This window comes from Homo sapiens, chromosome 17 (genome assembly GCF_000001405.40).
Source record: "Homo sapiens chromosome 17, GRCh38.p14 Primary Assembly".
NCBI classification, from domain to species: Eukaryota; Metazoa; Chordata; class Mammalia; order Primates; family Hominidae; genus Homo; species Homo sapiens.
In genome coordinates this window covers 6,936,002-6,957,054 of record NC_000017.11, presented here as the reverse complement: position 1 = coordinate 6,957,054, position 21,053 = coordinate 6,936,002, and the positions used below count along the sequence as shown (strand labels likewise).

At 42.8% G+C, this 21,053-nt stretch overlaps 1 long non-coding RNA gene across 1 annotated transcript; it reads right to left on the bottom strand.

Annotated features, from left to right (window-relative positions):
• Positions 1–262: 262 nt before the first annotated feature.
• LOC124903906 (uncharacterized) lies at positions 263–15,421 on the bottom strand. Its single transcript, XR_007065595.1, has 2 exons — positions 5,496–15,421; positions 263–3,394 (listed from the first exon to the last, which is right to left on the bottom strand). It is a non-coding gene; the product is annotated as an uncharacterized LOC124903906 (long non-coding RNA).
• Between the last annotated feature and the right edge of the window lie 5,632 nt (positions 15,422–21,053).

Below are 21,053 nucleotides of genomic sequence, written 5' to 3'. Positions count from 1 at the left end.
TATGTTTCTGGTGTGAAACCAAATTGGTACCACCTTTCAAGGGGTCAATTTTACTATATATAACAAAACTCTTAATATTCCATGCAACTTTTAATCCAGAAGTTCCACCTCTAGGAATTTATTTTCAGGAAGCAATCATGATATTCACAAAAATTTAGCTATGAGGATATTCATTTCAGTGTTATTTATAATATTGAAACATTAATAACAATGTATCTGTCCACTAATACTGACTTCATAAAATAAAATACCAGACACAAAATAATGTTGAAGAATAATTTTAATAACATGAACATATGATAATGTTACATTCAGTGAAATACACAGTTTCAAAACAGTATTTTTTTGTATTACAAGGGATTCTTTCTGTTGCAAGTAATGAAAACTCAACTAAAAATGGCTTAAGAGAAAGAAAAGGAAGATATTGATTCATAATACTGGAAAGTCCAGGGCCACAGTGCCTTCAGGTAAGGCTGCATCCAGCCTCATCATCAGTAATCTGTTTCCGTCTCTTGGTTTGGCTTTACTTTCAGATAGACCCTCTAAAAGCATTGTTAAAGAGAGCTACCAGCAGCTCTGGGATTGTGCTTTACCAACTTGATAACCTAACAGGACAAGAGAATTTCCTTTCAAATCATTCTAGCAAAAATCCTAGGGCTGAATCTCATTGGCCAGGTCTGGCTCATGTACTCCTCTCTTTAACTGAGAGGAGGTGTGAGTCCCATTTGAACTATGTCATAATAATGATAGCTGAAATTTATTGAATATTGATTATGTGTCAGATTATGAGTCTGAGTCCCATGATTTGATGTGTAACTTTGAGCAATTTAACCTTCCTAAGCCAGAAAAGAACACATAATCTGTGTCCTCTGTATTATTTCACTAAATTCTCTTGGCAATCCTAGTGAAACAGATTCTGTGTCCATCCTCATTTTATGGATGAAGAAACTGAAGCTCAGGCAGGTTAATTATTGTCTTAGTCCATTTAGCATTGCTATAAAGGAATACCTGAGGCTGGGTAATTTCTAAAGAAAAGAGGCCAATTTGGCTTATGGGTCTTTGGCTTTACAAGAAGCATGGCACTGGCATCTGCATCAGGTGAGGGCCTCAGGCTGCTTCTACTAATGGTGGAAAGTGAAGGGGAGCCAGCGTGTGTGGAGATCACATGGCGAGAGAGGAAGCAAGGTGTGGAGGCGGTGCCAGGCTCTTTTTAACAATCAGTTCTCCCGGTAATGAACAGAGGAAGAACTTACCCTTGAGCGAAGGCACTAATTTATTGATGAGGGACCCACCCCCATGACCCACATACCTCCCACTGGGCCCGACCTTCAACATTAGGGATCAAATTTCAATATGGGATTTGAAGGAGACAAACATCCAAACTAAAGCAAGTTTATTATTTAAGTTGAAAGAATTAGCAAATGATGCATTCACTCACATGGATTGAGAATATGGGAGGCAGCAGTTCTTCAAAGAAGAATCAGATGCTGCTTCAGACATTGACTATGAAGCCCAAAACAAAAGTAAAGAAAAACAAAACAACCCCATAGAATAAACAAGCATACAAAAACTTTAAAAGTCTACTATTAATATACTTGGAAAGGTACAGAATAGATTGCACCCATGTTATAAGAACAGAATAAGATCCTGATAATTTTAAGAGAAGAAAAAAGGGCCCTTAAAAATTAAAGCAAGAGAGTAGACCTGAAAAATGTAACAGAAGAGTTGGACGATAAACTTGAGGAAATCGCCCAAGAAGACACGGAGATGAACAATAGAAGAGAAAAGATACAGAAGATTAGAGATTAAGACTGGCGTGTTCAGGCCGGGTGCGGTGGCTCACGCCTGTAATCCCAGCACTTTGGAAGGCCGAGACGGGCGGATCACGAGGTTAGGAGATCGAGACCATCCTGGCTAACATGGTGAAACCCTGTCTCTACTAAAAATACAAAAAAAATTAGCTGGGCGTGGTGGCGGGCACCTGTGGTCCCAGCTACTCGGGAGGCTGAGGCAGGAGAATGGTGTGAACCTGGGAGGCGGAGCTGGCAGTGAGCCGAGATCGCGCCACTGCACTCTAGCCTGGGCGACAGAGGGAGACTCTGTCTCAAAAAAAAAAAAAAAACAAAAAAAAACCGGTGTGTTCAATATTTGAATAATTGGTGCTCAAGAGAGAAAAAGAATATGTAGGAGAGGCAGTCATCAATAAAACCATACAGAAAAGTTTACTCAAAACTCAAGAAGGACATGAGTTTCCAGATTGAAAGGGTTCTTCAAGTGCCCAGAGAAACGGATGAAAAAAGACCTGTCAAGGCACGTTATCATGGAGTTTCAGAACAAAGTCCAAGAGATCTTAAAAGCTTAGAGAGCAAGGGAGAGGGTACATACGAAGATCAAATATAAAGGATCGGGAATCAGCTTTGGCTTTGCCGGCTTCAATAAACAATGGTAGAGGCAAGAGACACCAGAGCAATGCTTTTCAAAATTCTTAAGAAAAACTATTCCCAGCCTAGAATTCTGCACCCAGCTAAATTATCAATCAAATATGAGTGTAAAATAAGGGCATTTTCAGATATGCAAGATTTACTTCCCATGCGTTCTTTCTTAAGGGGCTACTGGAGGCTGTGCTTCTTGAATGAGAGGACAAGCCAAGAAAGAACATATGGGACACAACAGGTAGGAATCAAACACAGGAGAGTGGTGAAGGGACTCTAGGGTAAGGGTGATGGGAGAGTCCAGAATGACAGTTATGCACTAGGTGCAGAAGGAAACAAGTCCAGCCTGAAGAAGTGGGACACCAGGACTCCAGGGAGAGACACACTGAGGGCTTCCATCACCACCATCCCCACTGCCATCATGCTAACTTTTAAATCAAGGACTCAATACCCAGAGTCTGGCCCAGATTTTTCCTTTGTACTTTCTTTATTTTGACCACATGCTGATAAAGTTCCTGCTCATTCCTCGAGTGCTCTGATGCTTGATCTACTGTGGGTGTCATCCAGAAATGTTCTGCCTTGACCTCTTCTGGGAAGTGGAGGAGAAGTCGTGATGAGCAGAATATACACAACAGCCATCTCCTTCTGACTATATCCTGGCCAAACATCTAAAACTCGGCCCATTCTCCAGCGTTACCGTATGTCTCACCTGTGCTGAGCCCAGTGATTCCCAGTGTTACTCATCATCTTACTCAATGATTTTCCCATAAAAAGCTCTTATAAATGCTTAGGGAAGCTGAAGCCAGACAATGACCGAGAGGCTGTTCAGTTTATCTTCTCCTCCTGAGCCTTCCTCAAACAGTGGTAACATCACCCTTTCCTTATTCTTCTAGATTGGTGCTTGCTGCTCAGTGTTTCAAAACTAAGTCATGTTGTTTAGGGATGTATATATTGGTGGAAAACTGTAAAGGAAACAGGAGAATGATTAACATAAGTCATCATCGTGGTTATCACTGCGGATGGAGAAGAGACCACAATTTGGGAGGGATAAGCAGAGGCTTCTAAAGGACTGGTTATGTTTTATACCTTAAACTGGGTAGATGATTATTTACCTTATTATTATATTAGGTTGGTGCAAAAGTAATTGTGGCGTTTGCCATTACTTTTAAATATTTCTGTCGAGCAAATTTTATCCATCCTTCTATTTGTATGATGCATTTTACAACAAACCATTTAAAAAATCAGGTGCTGGCCGGGCGCGGTGGCTCATGCCTATAATCCCGGCACTTTGGGAGGCCAAGGAGGGCGGATCACGAGGTCAGGAGATCGAGACCATCCTGGCTAACATGGTGAAACCCCCTCTCTACTAAAAATACAAAAAATTAGCCGGGCTTGGTGGTGGGCACCTGTAGTCCCCAGCTACCCAGGAGGCTGAGGCAGGAAAATTGCTTGAACCCGGGAGGCAGAGCTTGCAGTGAGGCAAGATCACGCCACTGCACTCCAGCCTGGGCATCAGAGCGAGACTCTGTCTCAAAAAAAAATCAGGTGCTGTTACTCAATAAAAGGGGAAGTCAATGAAACAATTAGAAATAAGAGATATTTATTCTGAATCTTTGGATAACAAAAATACCTGCAAAGAGAAAGGATAAGAAGGGACAATTTATTTATTTAATTTATTTTTTTGAGACGGAGTCTTGCTCTGTCACCCAGGCTGGAGTGCAATGGCGCGATCTTGGCTCACTGCAACCTCTGCCTCCCAGGTTCAAGCAATTCTCCTGCCTCAGCCTCCCAAGTAGCTGGGATTACAGGCGCCTGTCACCACGCCTGGCTAATTTTTGTGTTTTTAGTAGAGCTGGGGGTTTCACCGTGTTGGCCAGAATGGTCTCCATCTCTTGACCTCGTGATCCGCCCGCCTTGGCTTCCCAAAGTGCTGAGATTACAGGCGTGAGCCACTGCGCCCGGCCCTACATTTTATTTTTTTTAAAGTGAAAGCAAATTTATTAAGAAAGTGAAGGAATAAAAGAATGGCTACTCCATAGGCAGAGCAGCCAGGAAGAGACATTTTTTTTCTCTGGCTCTTTTTTTGCTGTATCTCAAAAAGAGTAGGAGTTGTTTTGAGCCTACGCACGGAAGGAACCGGAATAGTAAAACTTAGCATTTCCTACAGGCATCTCTGTGTGTCTGTCTGCTCTGTTCTCTATTAGCTCTACAGACACTCCTCTGTTTATGATGGGGCTGTATCCTGATAAACCCATTGTAAGTTGAAAATATCGTTAAGTCAAAAATGCATGTAATACACCTAACCTAGTCTAAGGTAGCTTAGCCTAGCCTACCTTAAATGTGCTCAGAACACTTACATTAGCCTCAAGTTGGCAAAATGATCTAACGCACAGCCCATTTTATAATAAAGTGTTGCCTATCTCATGTAATTTATTGAATATTATGCTGAAAGTGAAAAACAGAATGGTTGTATGGGTATTTGAGGTACAGTTTCTGCTGAATGTGTATTGCTTTTGCACCATCCTAAAGTTGAAAAACACCAAGTTGAACCATCGTGGGTTGGGGATTGTCTGTATAACGAATCTCCCCAAAATGTATTGTCTTAAAATAACAACCGGCCGGGTGCGGTGGCTCACGCCTGTAATCTCAGCACTTTGGGAGGCGCTGAGGCGGGCGGATCACGAGGTCAGGAGATCGAGACCATCCTGGCTAACACGGTGAGACCCCGTCTCTACTAAAAATACAAAAAATTAGCCGGGCGTGGTGGCAGGCGCCTGTAGTCCCAGCTACCGGGAGGCTGAGGCAGGAGAATGGCGTGAACCTGGGAGGCGGAGCTTGCAAAGTGAGCCGAGATCGCGCCACTGCACTCCAGCCTGGGCGACAGAGTGAGACTCCAAAAAAGAAAACAGAAACAAACAAACAAAAAAACCAACCACTACTTATTTGTTGGTTTACAATGCTGAACTTTGGGAAGGGATTGACAGGAACAGCTTGGTTTTGTTTCATGTGGTGTTGGCTGGGCCGCCTTGCCTGGGGCTGGAGGGTCCGGGTGGTTTCACTCACCTGTGTGGCTCAGCAGAGGTGTCTAGAACAGCAAAAGACTGGCCAGACCAATCTCTCCAGCAGGCAGTCGGTCTTCTTCTTATTATTTTTTTATTATACTTTAAGTTCTGGGGTACATGTGCAGAACGTGCAGTTTTGTTACATAGGTATACACGTGCCATGGTGGTTTGCTGCACCCATCAACCGGTCACCTACATTAGGTATTTCTCCTAATGCTATCCCTCCCCTAGCCCCCCACCCCCCAACAGGCCCCAGTGTGTGATGTTCCCCTCCCTGTGTCCATGTGTTCTCATTGTTCAGCTCCCCGTTATGAGTGAGAACATGCGGTGTTTGGTTTTCTGTTCCTGTGTTACTTTGCTGAGAATGATGGTTTCTAGCTCCATCCATGTCCCTGCAAAGGACATGAAATCATCCTTTTTTATGGCTGCATACTATTCCATGGTGTATATGTGCCACATTTTCTTTATCCAGTCTATCATTGATGGACATTTGGGTTGGTTCCAAGTCATTACTATTGTGACTAGTGCTGCAATAGACATAGGTGTGCATGTGTCTTTATAGTAGAATGATTTATAATCCTTTGGGGTATATACCCAGTAATGGGATTGCTGAGTCAAATGGTATTTCTGGTTCTGGATCCTTAAGGAATTGCCACATTGTCTTCCACAATGATTGAACTAATTACACTCCCACCAACAGTGTAAAAGTGTTCCTGTTTCTCCACATCCTCTCCAGCATCTGTTGTTTCCTGGGCAGTTGGTCTTCTTTATGCAGTGGCTCAGGGCTCCAAGAGAAGGAAAGTGCAAGATGTCAAGCCTCTTCGTGGTCAAGAACTGGCACCGTGTCACCTCTGCATTCTGTTGGTCAAAGTAAGTCACAAGACCAGTCTAGAACGCAGGGAGACATAGATTTCATCTCATGATGGGAGAATTGCTTACTAGATGAGAAGCATCTGTGGCAACTATTTTTGCAAACAATTTGCCATATCTTTTCTTCCACCTCATAATTTTGGTGTGTACGTAATTTTAATTTGCTATAGCCGAACTCCACATGTTTTTCTGTCACCTCCAACTTTATTGCTAAGTAGCAAATTCTTTTTGTTTAGGTTTAAATTCCTAAGAACAGTTGGTTTAATTCATCTCTTTACCTCGTGTCAGTGGTCGGAGGTCAGAGGCCATCCTATTTTTTTTTTTTTCCTGAGTTTTTATTTTGAAAAGCCTTAGGGTCTGGGCCCAGTGGCTCATGCCTGTAATCCCAACACTTTGGGAGGCCAAGGCGGGTGGATCACGAGGTCAGGAGTTCAAGACCAGCCTGGCCAACATGGTGAAACCCCGTCTCTACTAAAAATACAAAAATTAGCCGGGTGCAGTGTCAGGTGCCTGTAATCCCAGCTACTTGGGAGGCTGAGGCAGGAGAATCGCTTGAACCCTGCGGGTAGAAGTTGCAATGAGCCGAGATCGTGCCACTGTACTCTAGCCTGGGCAACAGAGTAAGACTCCATCTGAAAAAAAAAAAAATGCCTTTGGGATAGTTGTAAGAACAGTACCATGAATGCCTATAGACGCTTCACTTAGATTCACCAGTTTTAACGTTGGCCACATTTGTTTGATCACACATTCTTTCTCCAAGCATATATATATGGAGTTGGTTGAAGACATCATGACATTTTACCTTTAAATACTTTAGCATATATCTGCTGAGAACAAGGGCATTCTCTTACATAACCACAACCAAATTACCACACTCAAGAAATTTAACATTTCTATACAACTATCATCTAGTGTACTAACTATATTCATATTTCCACAATTGCCCCGTCGTGTCCTTTATATACCATTCTTTTTTGATCCAATACTTAATCTGTGATCACACATCAAAATTAGTTGCCATGTCCCCCTAATATTCTGTTTTTTTGAAAGACAGGAGGATCTCACTCCCTTGCCCAGATAGGAATGCAGTGGCTTGATCATGGCTCATTGCAGCCTTGACCTCCTGGGTTCAAGTGATCCTCCCGCCTCATTTTTTGATTTTTCTTGTATATAGAGATGGGGTCTCACTATGTTGCCCGGGCTGGTCTTGAATTCCTGGGCTCAAGTGATCCTCCTGCCTCTGCCTCCCAAAGTGTTGGGATTACAGGCGTGAGCCTCCCTAATGTTATTTAATTTAGATAAGTTCTCTGTCCTCTTTTGTCTTTTAGGACATTGACATTTTGGAGAGTCTAGGCTGGTTGTTTAGTACAATGTCTTTCAATATGGATTTGCCTGATTGTTTCCTCATGATTAGATTCAGCTTAAACATTTTTAGCAAGACTACGCCATAGGTGATGTGTGGCCAGTCACTTCAGGGGCTACTCTTAGACAATTGTTGGCCAGTTGCCTGTGCTTTGCTCCCATCCCACCCCACCTCCCATCATTTCCTTTGCCTGAAGTCTTTTGGGTAAGTTTGGCCACAGAAAGATGATAGCAGATGACTGGAGGGTGGGAGGAGGGGAAAGCCTAGGATATTGCCCCCTATTTCTCTGTTTTCCGTGACAGCTTTTCTTGTGTGTCTCCAATTCCTCCCAACCAAACGCTCTCTCTGTGGTTCCAGCTCCTGCGGGGGAAATACCCTCTCCTTAGTTCTGGCTCTTTCTGTTTGGCCTCAACTTCTGTGCTCTGATGAAACTACCTCATCCCGTTGACCCTTTAGTTCCAGGGTGGCAGTTGCTTTTGGCTGTTGCCGACCTCTCAGTGGCCTCATCATCTCATCCTGTGTTTGGCTTCTCAGCTTTTCCATTTCCTGTGTAACCAATTTCCTTATTAACGTTCCTCTTTATTTGGTTTGAAAAGTCTAGGGTGGTGTCTGTTTTCTTGACTAAACCTTGACTAATATAGGTAGGGTTTTCATCGTCAGTGTGATTTGTGTGACTTGTGGAATGGGGCCACGTGGCACAAAATAAGGCAGCATTAGCAACAGGAGTTATATGAGTGGAAATTCCTTTATAAGGAGAAATAAGCAGTGTAGGCCTCCTCCCTGGTTACACAAAAGGAAATATACAAAAAAGAAACATCTCAAGGTGGTAGAATTTTGTATGGTTTTTATATTATTTTTCTTCTTTTCTGTTCATCCAAATTACCTAAATTTTTTTTTACAATGGATGTAGATACTTTTGACATGAAGAAAAAATTGCCATATTTGTAAACAAATGAAGGAGAATGGTGTACAGGTGTACAAGTTGTATACAATAAAATATTATCAGAGGATACAAAAGTGGCTAACCCCCATCAAAAGACAAAAGACAAAATTACAACAAATTTAGAGACCTTAATTGGTTTTTATTTGCCATTCTAGAGTAAGGTAACACCTCATCCTACAAAATAGAATGAGTGCTCTGAGTTGCTGAGCAGAGGTGGTGGTAGGCAGAAAATGGCTGAGGAAAGCAGAAATAGAAAATAAAAGGTAGACTGGTTGTTTCAGAGTTACTTTCCTCGTAAAGATTAAAGCAGAGTGGACTTCCTTATTATACCAGCTAAAATTGGGTTGTTTGGGGATTTGGCTATTATGTCTCACTCTCCTGATTTCTTGGAAGGTCAGATAAACAACTTAGTTTTGTCTTGATGATGTGGGCCTGTAGCATGAGTGACTCCATTTTGGTTTGGTCTGTTGGACTTAGTATAGGAGCTCAGTCAAAACCAATGGCCTCCGATACATTTTATTTAATACCCCCACAAAAGCATTTGGCTCCCAAACCTTTTAAATAGAAAAAATAAGAAGGTCATTCAGTGTAAGATGATAAAAAGAGTAACAAGAGACTACTCTTATGAAATTTCTTCATATAAAATGCTTATACTTTTTGGTATGTCTGATATAGTTTATAATCTAATAATTTAAAAAAATTTCACAAAAAACAAAATCGTAAAATGGGAAATGGTTTAGTTGTTGAGGTTTTCACGTGATCACTCTAGCTCACAAATGGGCAAGTCTCCAGTGATCAAGAAAAAACTACACTGGTACTTATGGAAATGTTTACATTTAATAGGTGACATAACAGTGATTGTTTATAACAATTAAAGGCACTTTTTTCAACGTTTAATTACTTAGCTATCCTTAGGAATTTTGGAAAGCTCATTAGAAACTGAAGAATTTAAAGGGGTACCAAAGTAGCTGAAGCATGAGTTAGAATTCATAGAAAATGAGTAAAAAAGACTAGGAAATATTAGTGAAAAGATCAAATAGACTGCAAGGTTACAATAAAACTGCAGTAACCAAGACAAACAGAAATAATCAGAGATAAAATGGATTACTGGAAATGAGAAGTGCAAAAATGTAGAGGTACTCAGTAAGTATCAGATTTGAAAAATTAACAAGAAGTTTTCACAGAAGAGCCTAACATAGGAAATATGTACTGTAAGTGAGGGCATGCGAAAACCTGCTTCCACCCTACGTATAATCCAATATAATCTGGTACAAAATGTCTTGAAGAGTCAAAAGAAGGTAGTTTCCTAGGTGTTTAACTGTTTCAATGGCTCCCGTCAGTAAGTCATAGCTAGCAATGGACTTCTGACTTAAACCTGCTCATACCTGCTGCTATGGTTTGAATGTCTCCTCCAAAACCCTTATTGAAATTTAATTGCCATCATGATAGTATTAAGAGATGGGACCTTTAAAGGGTAATTAGGTCATGAGGGCTTGGCCCTTGTGAATAGATTGACGTTATCATGGGAGTGGCTTAGCTGTCGTGGGAGTTAGGTCTCCATTTTCTGTCTCTGTTTTGTGTGCTTGCTTGCCCTTCTGCCATGGGTTGATGCAGCAAGAAGGTCCTTGCCAGATTCTGACACCATGTTCTTAGGCTTTCTAGCCTCCAGAACTGTGAGTCAAATAAATTGCTATTCTTTTTAAATTAAATTAAATTTATTTATATATTTTGAGATGGAGTCTTGCACTGTTGCCCAGGATGGAGCACAGTGGCATGATCTGGGCTCACTGCAAGCTCCACCTCCTGGGTTCACGCCATTCTCCTGCCTCAGCCTCCCGGTAGCTGGGACTACAGGCACCCGCCACCATGCCCGGCTAATTTTTTGTACTTTTAGTAGAGATGGGGTTTCACCATGTTAGACAGGATAGTCTTGATCTCCTGACCTCGTGATCCACCCACCTCGGCCTCCCAAAGTGCTGGGATTACAGGCATGAGCCACTGCACCCAGCAGCCACTGCTATTCTTTATAAATTACCAAGTTGGTGACAGTCCATTATAGCAGCAGAAAATGGACTAAGACATCTGCCAAAACATGTATTTAGTCAGAGTCTGATTAAGGTTCTCTCAAGAGTTTATTCATTGGGCTCACTAAGTGCTATATGTTAGAAGAATAAGATTGTTAATTCTGTCTGAAATGAAGCATATTAATAAATAAATGCATTGACATTTTATTGTGAATAATTATGACCTTCTAGTATTGCATATTTATGTTATAGCTTAGGAACTTAGAAGAAAGTACCAAGTCAGAGTCAAGCCTGTTTGTCTTTACGACCTGCACTGAGACAAGAATCTGGGTTGAAGTAGTATCTCTGATTCTGAGAATCTCTTACTTTAGGATTTTCCATTGACAATATTGGAAAACATGATCTGGATTATGCAATATTTGGCTCTTCATAGGCTGCAAAGTTTTGAAAGGTGCTGGTGTGAATCTTGGCAGAGATCTCTGGCTTAGGCATTCCTTTACTTTCTCCCAACTTCATCCTGCGTAAATATCTCATTAGAGCGATATCTACTAATTCACAGGGCTATAGTGACACTCTATTGACACATCAGGAAAACTTTAGGACACAGGACTGGGAGGAGAAAACGGGCTTGGGATACCTTCTTATAGCTATGTACCTAACACTACCAAAATAATAAAAAACCCAATGGCTTTTATGCTTAAAAATTGATATTTATTAATTATATAATTCAAGCCCTTTTCTTTTAAGTCTCCCCCCACTCTGTTTGTAGAAGTTCGAGGTCATGATTACCTTTCCAATTTCCAGAGACACTATAAAATAACCATCATTAGATTTTTAGCTGTAGGTAATAAATAGAAGAGTTATTATAACATTCTGAGCATAATAGCTGGTGTTCCTAGAAATATCCAGGACAACTGTCATTTGTCATTTCTGGCAATGTCTAAGGCCTTGAGGCATCAAACAGGCATCTAAATGGAAAATCTGTCTGAACTGTGGTCAGTGGAGGGTTGAGATTCTTTTGAAAGCTATTGATGTGCAGTTATGTGAAATACAACCGCCATTTATGCCTGTAATCTGCTTGAGAGTAATCATGTACATAGTTAATACTCCAAACTACTTTTCTTTTTTTTTTTCTTTTATTATTATCCTTTAAGTTTTAGGGTACCTGTGCACATTGTGCAGGTTAGTTACATATGTATACATGTGCCATGCTGGTGCGCTGCACCCACTAACTCGTCATCTAGCATTAGGTATATCTCCCAGTGCTATCCCTCCCCCCTCCCCCCACCCCACAACAGTCCCCAGAGTGTGATGTTCCCCTTCCTGTGTCCATGTGATCTCATTGTTCAGTTCCCACCTATGAGCGAGAATATGTGGTGTTTGGTTTTTTGTTCTTGTGATAGTTTACTGAGAATGATGATTTCCAATTTCATCCATGTCCCTACAAAGGACATGAACTCATCATTTTTTATGGCTGCATAGTATTCCATGGTGTATATGTGCCACATTTTCTTAATCCAGTCTATCATTGTTGGACATTTGGGTTGGTTCCAAGTCTTTGCTATTGTGAATAGTGCCGCAATAAACGTACGTGTGCATGTGTCTTTATAGCAGCATGATTTACAGTCCTTTGGGTATATACCCAGTAATGGGATGGCTGGGTCGAATGGTATTTCTAGTTCTAGATCTCTGAGGAATCGCCACACTGACTTCCACAATGGTTGAACTAGTTTACAGTCCCACCAACAGTGTAAAAGTGTTCCTATTTCTCCACATTCTCTCCAGCACCTGTTGTTTCCTGACTTTTTAATGATTGCCATTCTAACTGGTGTGAGATGGTATCTCATTGTGGTTTTGATTTGCATTTCTCTGATGGCCAGTGATGATGAGCATTTTTTCATGTGTTTTTTGGCTGCATAAATGTCTTCTTTTGAGAAGTGTCTGTTCATGTCCTTTGCCCACTTTTTGATGGGGTTGTTTGTTTTTTTTTTGTAAATTTGTTTGAGTTCATTGTAGATTCTGGATATTAGCCCTTTGTCAGATGAGTAGGTTGCGAAAATTTTCTCCCATTTTGTAGGTTGCCTGTTCATCACTCTGATGGTAGTTTCTTTTGCTGTACAGAAGCTCTTTAATTTAATTAGATCCCATTTGTCAATTTTGTCTTTTGTTGCCATTGCTTTTGGTGTTTTAGACATGAAGTCCTTGCCCATGCCTATGTCCTGAATGGTATTGCCTAGGTTTTCTTCTAGGGTTTTTATGGTTTTAAGTCTAACGTTTAAGTCTTTAATCCATCTTGAATTGATTTTTGTATGAGGTGTAAGGAAGGGATCCAGTTTCAGCTTTCTACATATGGCTAGCCAGTTTTCCCAGCACCATTTATTAAATAGGGAATCCTTTCCCCATTGCTTGTTTTTCTCAGGTTTGTCAAAGATCAGATAGTTGTAGATATGCGGCGTTATTTCTGAGGGCTCTGTTCTGTTCCATTGATCTATATCTCTGTTTTGGTACCAGTACCATGCTGTTTTGGTTACTGTAAACTACTTTTCCATTCAGATCATTTTAGTTTGGTTAATTATGTAAAAGCAAATATTTGTTTAGAGTAATGCTGCTGCTCCATTAATGAATTATTGCCTGGTTCCCTCGTTATTGTACATCTCAGTCACTTTCAATTATGCTCAAAAGGCGCATCTCTCAAAGGAATCTTTTTTTTTTTCTTCCCACACTCACTCAGTTTAACTTCCTCTCCTGGTTTATCTAAACAGGAATTCATCTTCATTTTAGGAAGTACTTACTTCACAAATTAGCTTTCCTTACATTCTTTCTAAAGCAAAACAAATCTAGTTTTGTTTCTAAGAATCGAAATCAGAAATGCTATAACTTAAATTTTGTAACTGCTTAACAACAAACACACCGACTACAAGTTTTTCTTAAAGACAACATTGCCCATTTCCAGAGTATATATTTTTTCAATTAATAGACTTCATTTTAAGAGAAATTTTAGATTTACGGAAAAATTAAGCAGAAAGTGAGAATCTATTTTTTGAGCAGAAATTTTTGAGAGCTCACAAAATTTCAGGGTCTGTTGTAATAGTTGGGTTTCTGTTCCAATGAGCTTGTGGATACACCAATAGCTTATAGCCAAGTGCATATCAGTACCCATCAAATCCATGAGTGAGATATTTTTCTTTAAATCACATGGCTCTAAATGACAGGTTTTACATATACTTAGCCCTCTATAATGGCAGAGGTGGAATCTGTGGATACAGAGGGCCGACTGTTACCTGGAAAGCCAGGGTTTGTTTGCCTGGTGAGTAACAAGCGACCCTCCGTGAGAATGCAGGTTATGATGAATAGGAGTGTTCTTAGTTGGCACAAGAAAGGCAGGTACTGGGAGTATTCTCGAAAACAGCGTCTTCTCAAGGGAAAGTGACAGGAGGCTGTCGACAAAAAGGGCTAAAGTGTAACATAGTTAAAAAGGTTTATTCTGAGTGAAATGAGTGACCAAGGCCCACGACACAGCCCCAGGAGGTCCTGTGAACATGGGCCCAAGGTGCTCGGGCCACAGCTTGATTTTATACGTTTTAGGGTGACAGAAGTTACACAGATACCAATCAATACGTGTCAGGTGTGCGTCAATTCAGCCTGAAAAGGTGGGACAACTCAAGGCAGCAGCTTCCAGGTCATAGGTGGATTGAAAGATTTTCTGACTGGAAATTGGTTGAAAGAGTTATGTTATCTTTTTTATTTATTTATTTTTTTGAGACAGAGCCTCACTTTGTCACCCAGGCTGGAGTGCAATGGCACTATCTGGGCTCACTGCAACCTCCGCCTCCCGGGTTCAAGTGATTCTCCTGCCGCAGCCTCCTGATTAGCTGGGATTACAGGCACACACCATGCCTGGCTAATTTTTGTACTTTTAGTAGAGACGAGGTTTCACCATGTTGGCCAGGTTGGTATTGAAGCACCAGTGTACCAGCAGCAGCGGAGGTCCTCCTCCTTGCAGACCAGGGTTACCGCATAGGCAGTGTGCCCAGAGTAGCAGCTCAGAGGCAGGTCTGCACTCATACCCACTTCTAATTATATGCAAATTAAAGGAGTTATGCAGAAATTTCTAGAATGAGGGTGATAGCTTCCCAGTTGTCAGGTCGTTGCCATGGAAAGGGGCAGTAACCTCCAGGTGTTGCCATGGCAATGGTCAACTGACTTGGCACACTGGTGGGTGTGTCTTATGAGAAGGTGCTTCTGCCCCCCACCCCACCCCGCACCCCGACCTGTTTTTAGCTAGCCTTCAACTGGTCTAGTGTCCTAGCCCCACCTCTGGAGTCAAGTCCTGCCTCCCACCTCAGAATCTTGGTCTCCACAACCCCTTATCTTAACCCAGACAATTCCTTTCTATTGATTTCAGGTCCTTAGATAATAACAACTTGGCTGGGCACAGTGGCTCACGCCTGTAATCCCAGCACTTTGGGAGGCCAAGGCGGGCGGATCACCTGAGGTGGGGAGTTCGAGACCAGCCTGATCAACATGGAGAGACTCCATTTCTACTAAAAATACAAAATTAGCCGGGCATTGTGGCGCCTGCCTGTAATCCCAGCTACTCAGGAGGCTGAGGCAGGAGAATCGCTTGAACCGGGGAAACGGAGGTTGTGGTGAGCTGAGATTGTGCCACTGCACTCCAGCCTGGGCAATAAGAGGGAAACTACATCTCAAAAAAAAAAAAAAAAAAAAAAAAAGAGAGAGAGAGTGAGAGAGAGAGAGAGAGAGAGAGAGAGAGAGAGAAAATGGCTCAACAGCAAATGCAGGCATTTATGTCCAGGATAAACTTATAGAGGTGGGGGACCAGCTTAGTGTCAGTGCCCACTGCTTACAGGCTGGGGTATTTATAGGTATGGGCGGGAGGGGCCTGGGCAGTATGGCTTGCTGCCTGATAGGATATTGATAAGATGTTCCTTTGATCAGGCGGTTTGGCCCTTGTTCTGGTGGAGTGTGGTGTTCCTTGCATTTTCTCCTAGCAGAATAAGATAAGAGGCAGGCTGTTTCTCACGGTCCGAACCCCCGTGGAATGTTCCACTTTGACCAAGGTCTGTGAAATGGCGGGAGACTTACATAATGGTGCAGTTTGGACTAACACTTTTGAGGGCTCTTGTTTTTTTTGACTGTATATATTTTCTAGGAGGAGAACAAGTTTCTGGGTACTCTTAAATATTACTTGTGAGCTTTAAGTTACTCAGTGATTTGACTTACGGTGGTGGTTATCTTTAAATACGTCATGCTTTTTTTCTTAACCATTTTTAGTGTGGACTGTATAGAATACACAAAAGGCCACCATATTTATATACAATTTAAAAAATAATTTAAAGCAAATTAAAAAGTACCCAGATAGCTACAACCCAGTCCAAGAGTTAGAATATGGACAGAGTCCCTTTCCCCACTCCATCCCCTACCTGCAACAAACCTCTTCCTCTTCCCGGAAGTAACCACTCTCCAAACGTGTGACAATCACTTCCTTGCAAATGTTTATAGTTTTACACTTCTATATGCATTGCTTAATTTTGCCTTTTATGTTTAGACCTTTAATCTACTTGAAATTTATTTACGTATGATATAAAGGTCCATTTTTTTCCATATGGACACTTCCCTGTCCCACCACTGTCTATTAGAATTTCTACTTCCTCGCCTGATCTACACTACCACTGAGGCAGGAGAATAGGGTCTGGAGGCAGGGAAGCTAAGGCTGATTCATGCTGCTTATGAGGGAAAGGAGGGGTTGAATTGGGCTTAGGTTCGGAACCCAAGCCCGATTCATCCCTTTTCAACCCCTCCTTTTTTCTGCGAGGCAGTTGAAAAATGAAAGTACCTCTGATTGGTCCCCTCCTGCAACCAATCAGACTGGTCGGGGGCCAATGGGAACCCTCTAGAGGGTATTTAAACCTCAGAAAATTCAGTAACAGGCTTTGGAGCTGCTTGCTTGAGCCCACTGTCCTCTGTTGGAGTAAATCTCTGCTTTCCCTGCCTTGCTTTGTGTGTTTTGTCCAATTCTCAGTTCAAAACGCCAAGAACCTGGCCAACTACCCTTCAGCTGGTAACGTATTTTGGTGAGCCAGCCAGGAGGTAAGCCCAACGTTTGGGATTTATTTTCCTTTTTGTCCTCTTTCTCTCTCTTTTCCTTTCCAACTCGGGACTCTCGGTGGACAGTGCCTAGGCATGGAGGCAACCGCAGGTTTGTGGTTGGGGCCACTCTCCAGGGAAACTGAAAGGGTTCCGTGTGGAAGCGCCTGATCACCACCACCCGGTTTGGGTGAGGGACCTGAGTCCTTTTCTTTTCAGTCTTGCAGCAGCTGTTTCCTGGCAGGGCAAATGGTCAGAAATACCATATGTACAGGCCTTCACGGCCCTACGCCAAAACCTAATCATCTCCGCAAAGAAAGTCCAAAGACAGGACTAGATAGTATAGATGACCCCCTTTTATAAGGGCCACCTGTCTCTCAGGGTGAACATAACCGCCCCCACGTAGCCCCTTGCCAAGTGCTCCTGAGGCTAAAACCCAAACCCTGGACACCCTACTAGGTCCCCCTCACGCTCGGAGGGGACACTACATTCCACTCTCCCTCCAGCCCTGCTACCCCTTCAGGAAGTAGCAGGAGCCGAGGGGCCAGTCCTAGTGCAGGCCACCTTCTCTATAACTGATATACAACGGTGTCAGGGAAAGCTAGGAAGCTCTTCTAAGAATCCCAGGAAATTAGCAGATGGGTTCCAAACTTTGACCTCAGCCTTCGATCTCTCACAGAGAAATGTTCAATTCATTCTAGCAACCTCTTGCACCCCCTTTGAAAAGGAATGAATCTTTTGAGGCTGCCCACTGGGAAGCAGACGATTTATTTGCCCAAAACCCTCAGGGCAATCACCTGGGCCCAGACACAGTCCCCACAACTGATCCTAATTGAGACTCTAATGCTCTCGTGGGAACGAAAAACTGGGCTAAATTTCTTGAGGCTCTCCTTGGAGGAATGAGAAAGGGAATAACTAAGGCAGTAAGTGATGATGAAGTAAGGGAGGTTCCACCGGACCAGGTAACCCTTGCCATGCTCATGCTACAATCTGGAAAGGAAGAGGGCTGCTAACTAGCAAACACTCCCCTGTAAAGCATAGGCCTGAAATTCTGCAGCTTTTGGAAGCAATACACCTGCCAAAGGCTGTAGCTGTAATTCATTGCAGGGAGCATCAAAGGGCCTTAACCCTTATAGCACAAGGAAACAGAAAGGCTGATAGAGAAGCGAAAGCTGTAGTTCTCAGGGTGCAATCCCAACAGATTCCAGCTCTACTTCTTTTCTGTGATTCCCCAATGGAGCCTGAATACACACCACAGGAAGAACAGTTAATAAAGGAGCAAGGGGGACAAAACCCAGGATGCTGGTGGTACATGGCATCAAAACCACATCTCCCTCAAGCAGCCTGATGGAGAATTAGAAAAACTCTGCATGACTCTTTGCATATGGGGAGAGAAGCCACCCTGGCCGTGGTTAACAGGCTCTTCATTGAGCCTAACTTAGCTTCTGTGGTTAAGCATGTCTGTCAAACCTGCTCACTGTGTGCACTGAACAGCCCAGGAAACAGAATGCCTCCTGTAATAGAACCAGTCCAGAGGGGAGTTGTATTAGAGGACGCTGATAGAACATACCCAGGAAAAGATGGGCGATTAGACTTCACACATATGCCAGCTGGCAGAGGTTATAAGTTTTTGTTAGTGCTAATAGATATCTTTACTGGTTGGGTCGAAGCTTATCCTACCAGATCAGAGAAGGCTACTGTGGTTATAAGGTTCTCTTAAAAGAAATAATCCCCCAGTTTGGGTTACTTCAGCGTCTCCAAAGTGATAACGGCCCATACTTTATCTCCCAGATAACTCAAGTAGTTGCTAAGGCTCTCAGAATCAAATACTATTTACATTCAGCATGGAGGCCTCAATCCTCTGGGAAAGTAGAAAGGGCTAATCAACCTCTAAAAGGATCGTTAGCTAAGTTCGATCAGGAAACATCAGAAGCTTGGGTCAGCTTACTGCCCATAGCTCTCTTAAAAATCTGTAATACCCCTAGAGCAAAATTTAATATAAGCCTATACGAAGGCTATTAGTTTGTTTTTATGTGTGTGTGTGTGTGTTTTTTTTTTTTTTTTTGAGACGGAGTCTCTCTCTATCGCCTAGGCTGGAGTGCAGTGGCACGATCTTGGCTCACTGCAAGCTCCGCCTCCCGGGTTCACGCCATTCTCCTGCCTCAGCCTCCCGAGTAGCTGGGACTACAGGCGCCCGCCAGCACGCCCAGCTAATATTTTGTATTTTTAGTAGAGACGGGGTTTCACCGTGTTAGCCAGGATGGTCTCGATCTCCTGACCTTGTGATCTGCCCGCCTCGGCCTCCCAAAGTGCTGGGATTACAGGCCTGAGCCACTGTGCCCGGCCTTGTTTTTTTGGACATGGAATTTTCGCTCTTGTTGCCCAGGCTGGAGTACAATGCCTTGATCTTGGCTCACTGCAACCTCTGCCTTCCGGGTTCAAGCGATTCTCCTGCCTCGGCCTCCCGAGTAGCTGGAATTACAGGCATGAACCACCATGCCCGGCTAATTTTGTATTTTTAGTAGAGATGGGGTTTCTCCACGTTGGTCAGGCTGGTCTTGAACTCCTAACCTCAGGTGATCTGCCCGCCTTGGCCTCCCAAAGTGCTGGGATTACAGAAGGCTATTCTTAACTGATGATGTAATTACTGATTCAGAAACAGCTGGTTTAGTAAAATACCTAGTTAACCTAGGACAATGTCAGCAGGTTTATACAGAAGTTTGGAACTCAAAGGCTTCCGGTACTGGAAGCTAACCAGCCACCTCAAATCAGGCCAGCAGATAAGGTGCTTGTTAAAGCATGGACGGAGGGGTCACCTCCTCAACAATTACAACCCCAATGGAAGGCACCGTTTTCAGTGATACTGGCCACGCCTTCTGCGGTCAAAGTACTGGGATTAGATAGTTGGATACACCTTTCAAGGATCAAGTCTGTGATACCTGAAGCCCCGGACCTGGAACCTGAAGTTCCCATCAGCCACTGCACCTGTGAACCTGTGGCAGCCCTGAAGTACCTGTTTAGAAGACAGCCAAAAGAGAAATGCCTACCAACGTTCCTTGGTGTTTTTGTTGCATAGTTACTGTAGGCTGGATAATAGTAGCCATGTTTTTTTTTTTTTTTTTTTTTTTGCAGATTAATTACCTTCTTTCAAACAGTTGGAATCACTTCCTTCATAGTAATTAAGTAGAATCTTTTAATTCATTTCTATAACAAACATTCCTGACAGCATAGGTGTCCACCTCCTGAAGTTCCCATGAAATCTTTTAACCATTCATTTCCTCTTGCCTGGAGATGATTGTGCAGTAAGGTTTCCAGCCAGTTCCAAATGAATTCACCACCCCTGGCCATCAAGAAACTACCCTGTCTCCACTAGACAGAGCAGGGTGAGAGTTCTGTGATTCCAATAGGCAGGGACTGTCAGTCAAGTCAGTGTGACGCAGTTACAGAAAAAAGACCATCAGTCCCTCTGTCTCACATAAAGACTTACGGGGATCCTGTCTCTCAGGGGGGGAAATGAGGCAGGAGAATAGGGTCTGGAGGCAGGAAACCTAAGGCCGGTTCATGCTCACTGGATATCAGAGGCTACTCTTCAACACCCCCTTTTTCTGCGCGACAGTTGCTGCCCCTCCTTTTTCTGCCTGGCGGTTGAAAAATGAAAGTACCTCTGATTGGTCCCCTCCTGCAACCAATCAGACTGGTCGGGGGACAATGGGAAACTCCTAGAGGGAATTGAAACCCCAGAAAATTCTGTAACCAAGAATCTTGAGCTGCTTGCATGAGCCACCCCCACCCTGTGGAGTGTACTTTCATTTAAAACAAATCTCTGCTCTTGCTGCCTTGCTTTGTCCATTTTGTCCAGTTCTTTGTTCAAAACGCCAAGAACCTGGACAACTACCCTCAGCTGGTAACACCACCTCTGTCAAAAATGAAGTGTCCATATATGCCTGTTTCTGGGCTGTCCATTCTTCTATTCCAATTGTTCTACTTGTCAATCCCTGTGTTAATACCATGCCATCTTCAAAACAGGTCATTTCTATTGATGTCTGGCTTGTTTGCTCATACTAGCCATAGCATGTCTTGCCTGATTGCAATCTCCTAATTTTGTTGAGACTTACTTTATCGTCCAGCGTGATTCACTTTGTAAAGGTCCTGTGAGTTCTCGAAAAGAGTGTGTGGTATGCAGTGTTGGGTGCTGTGTTGTGTGAATGTCCACTTGATCAAGTCTGTTAATTGTGTTCAAATCTATGTTCT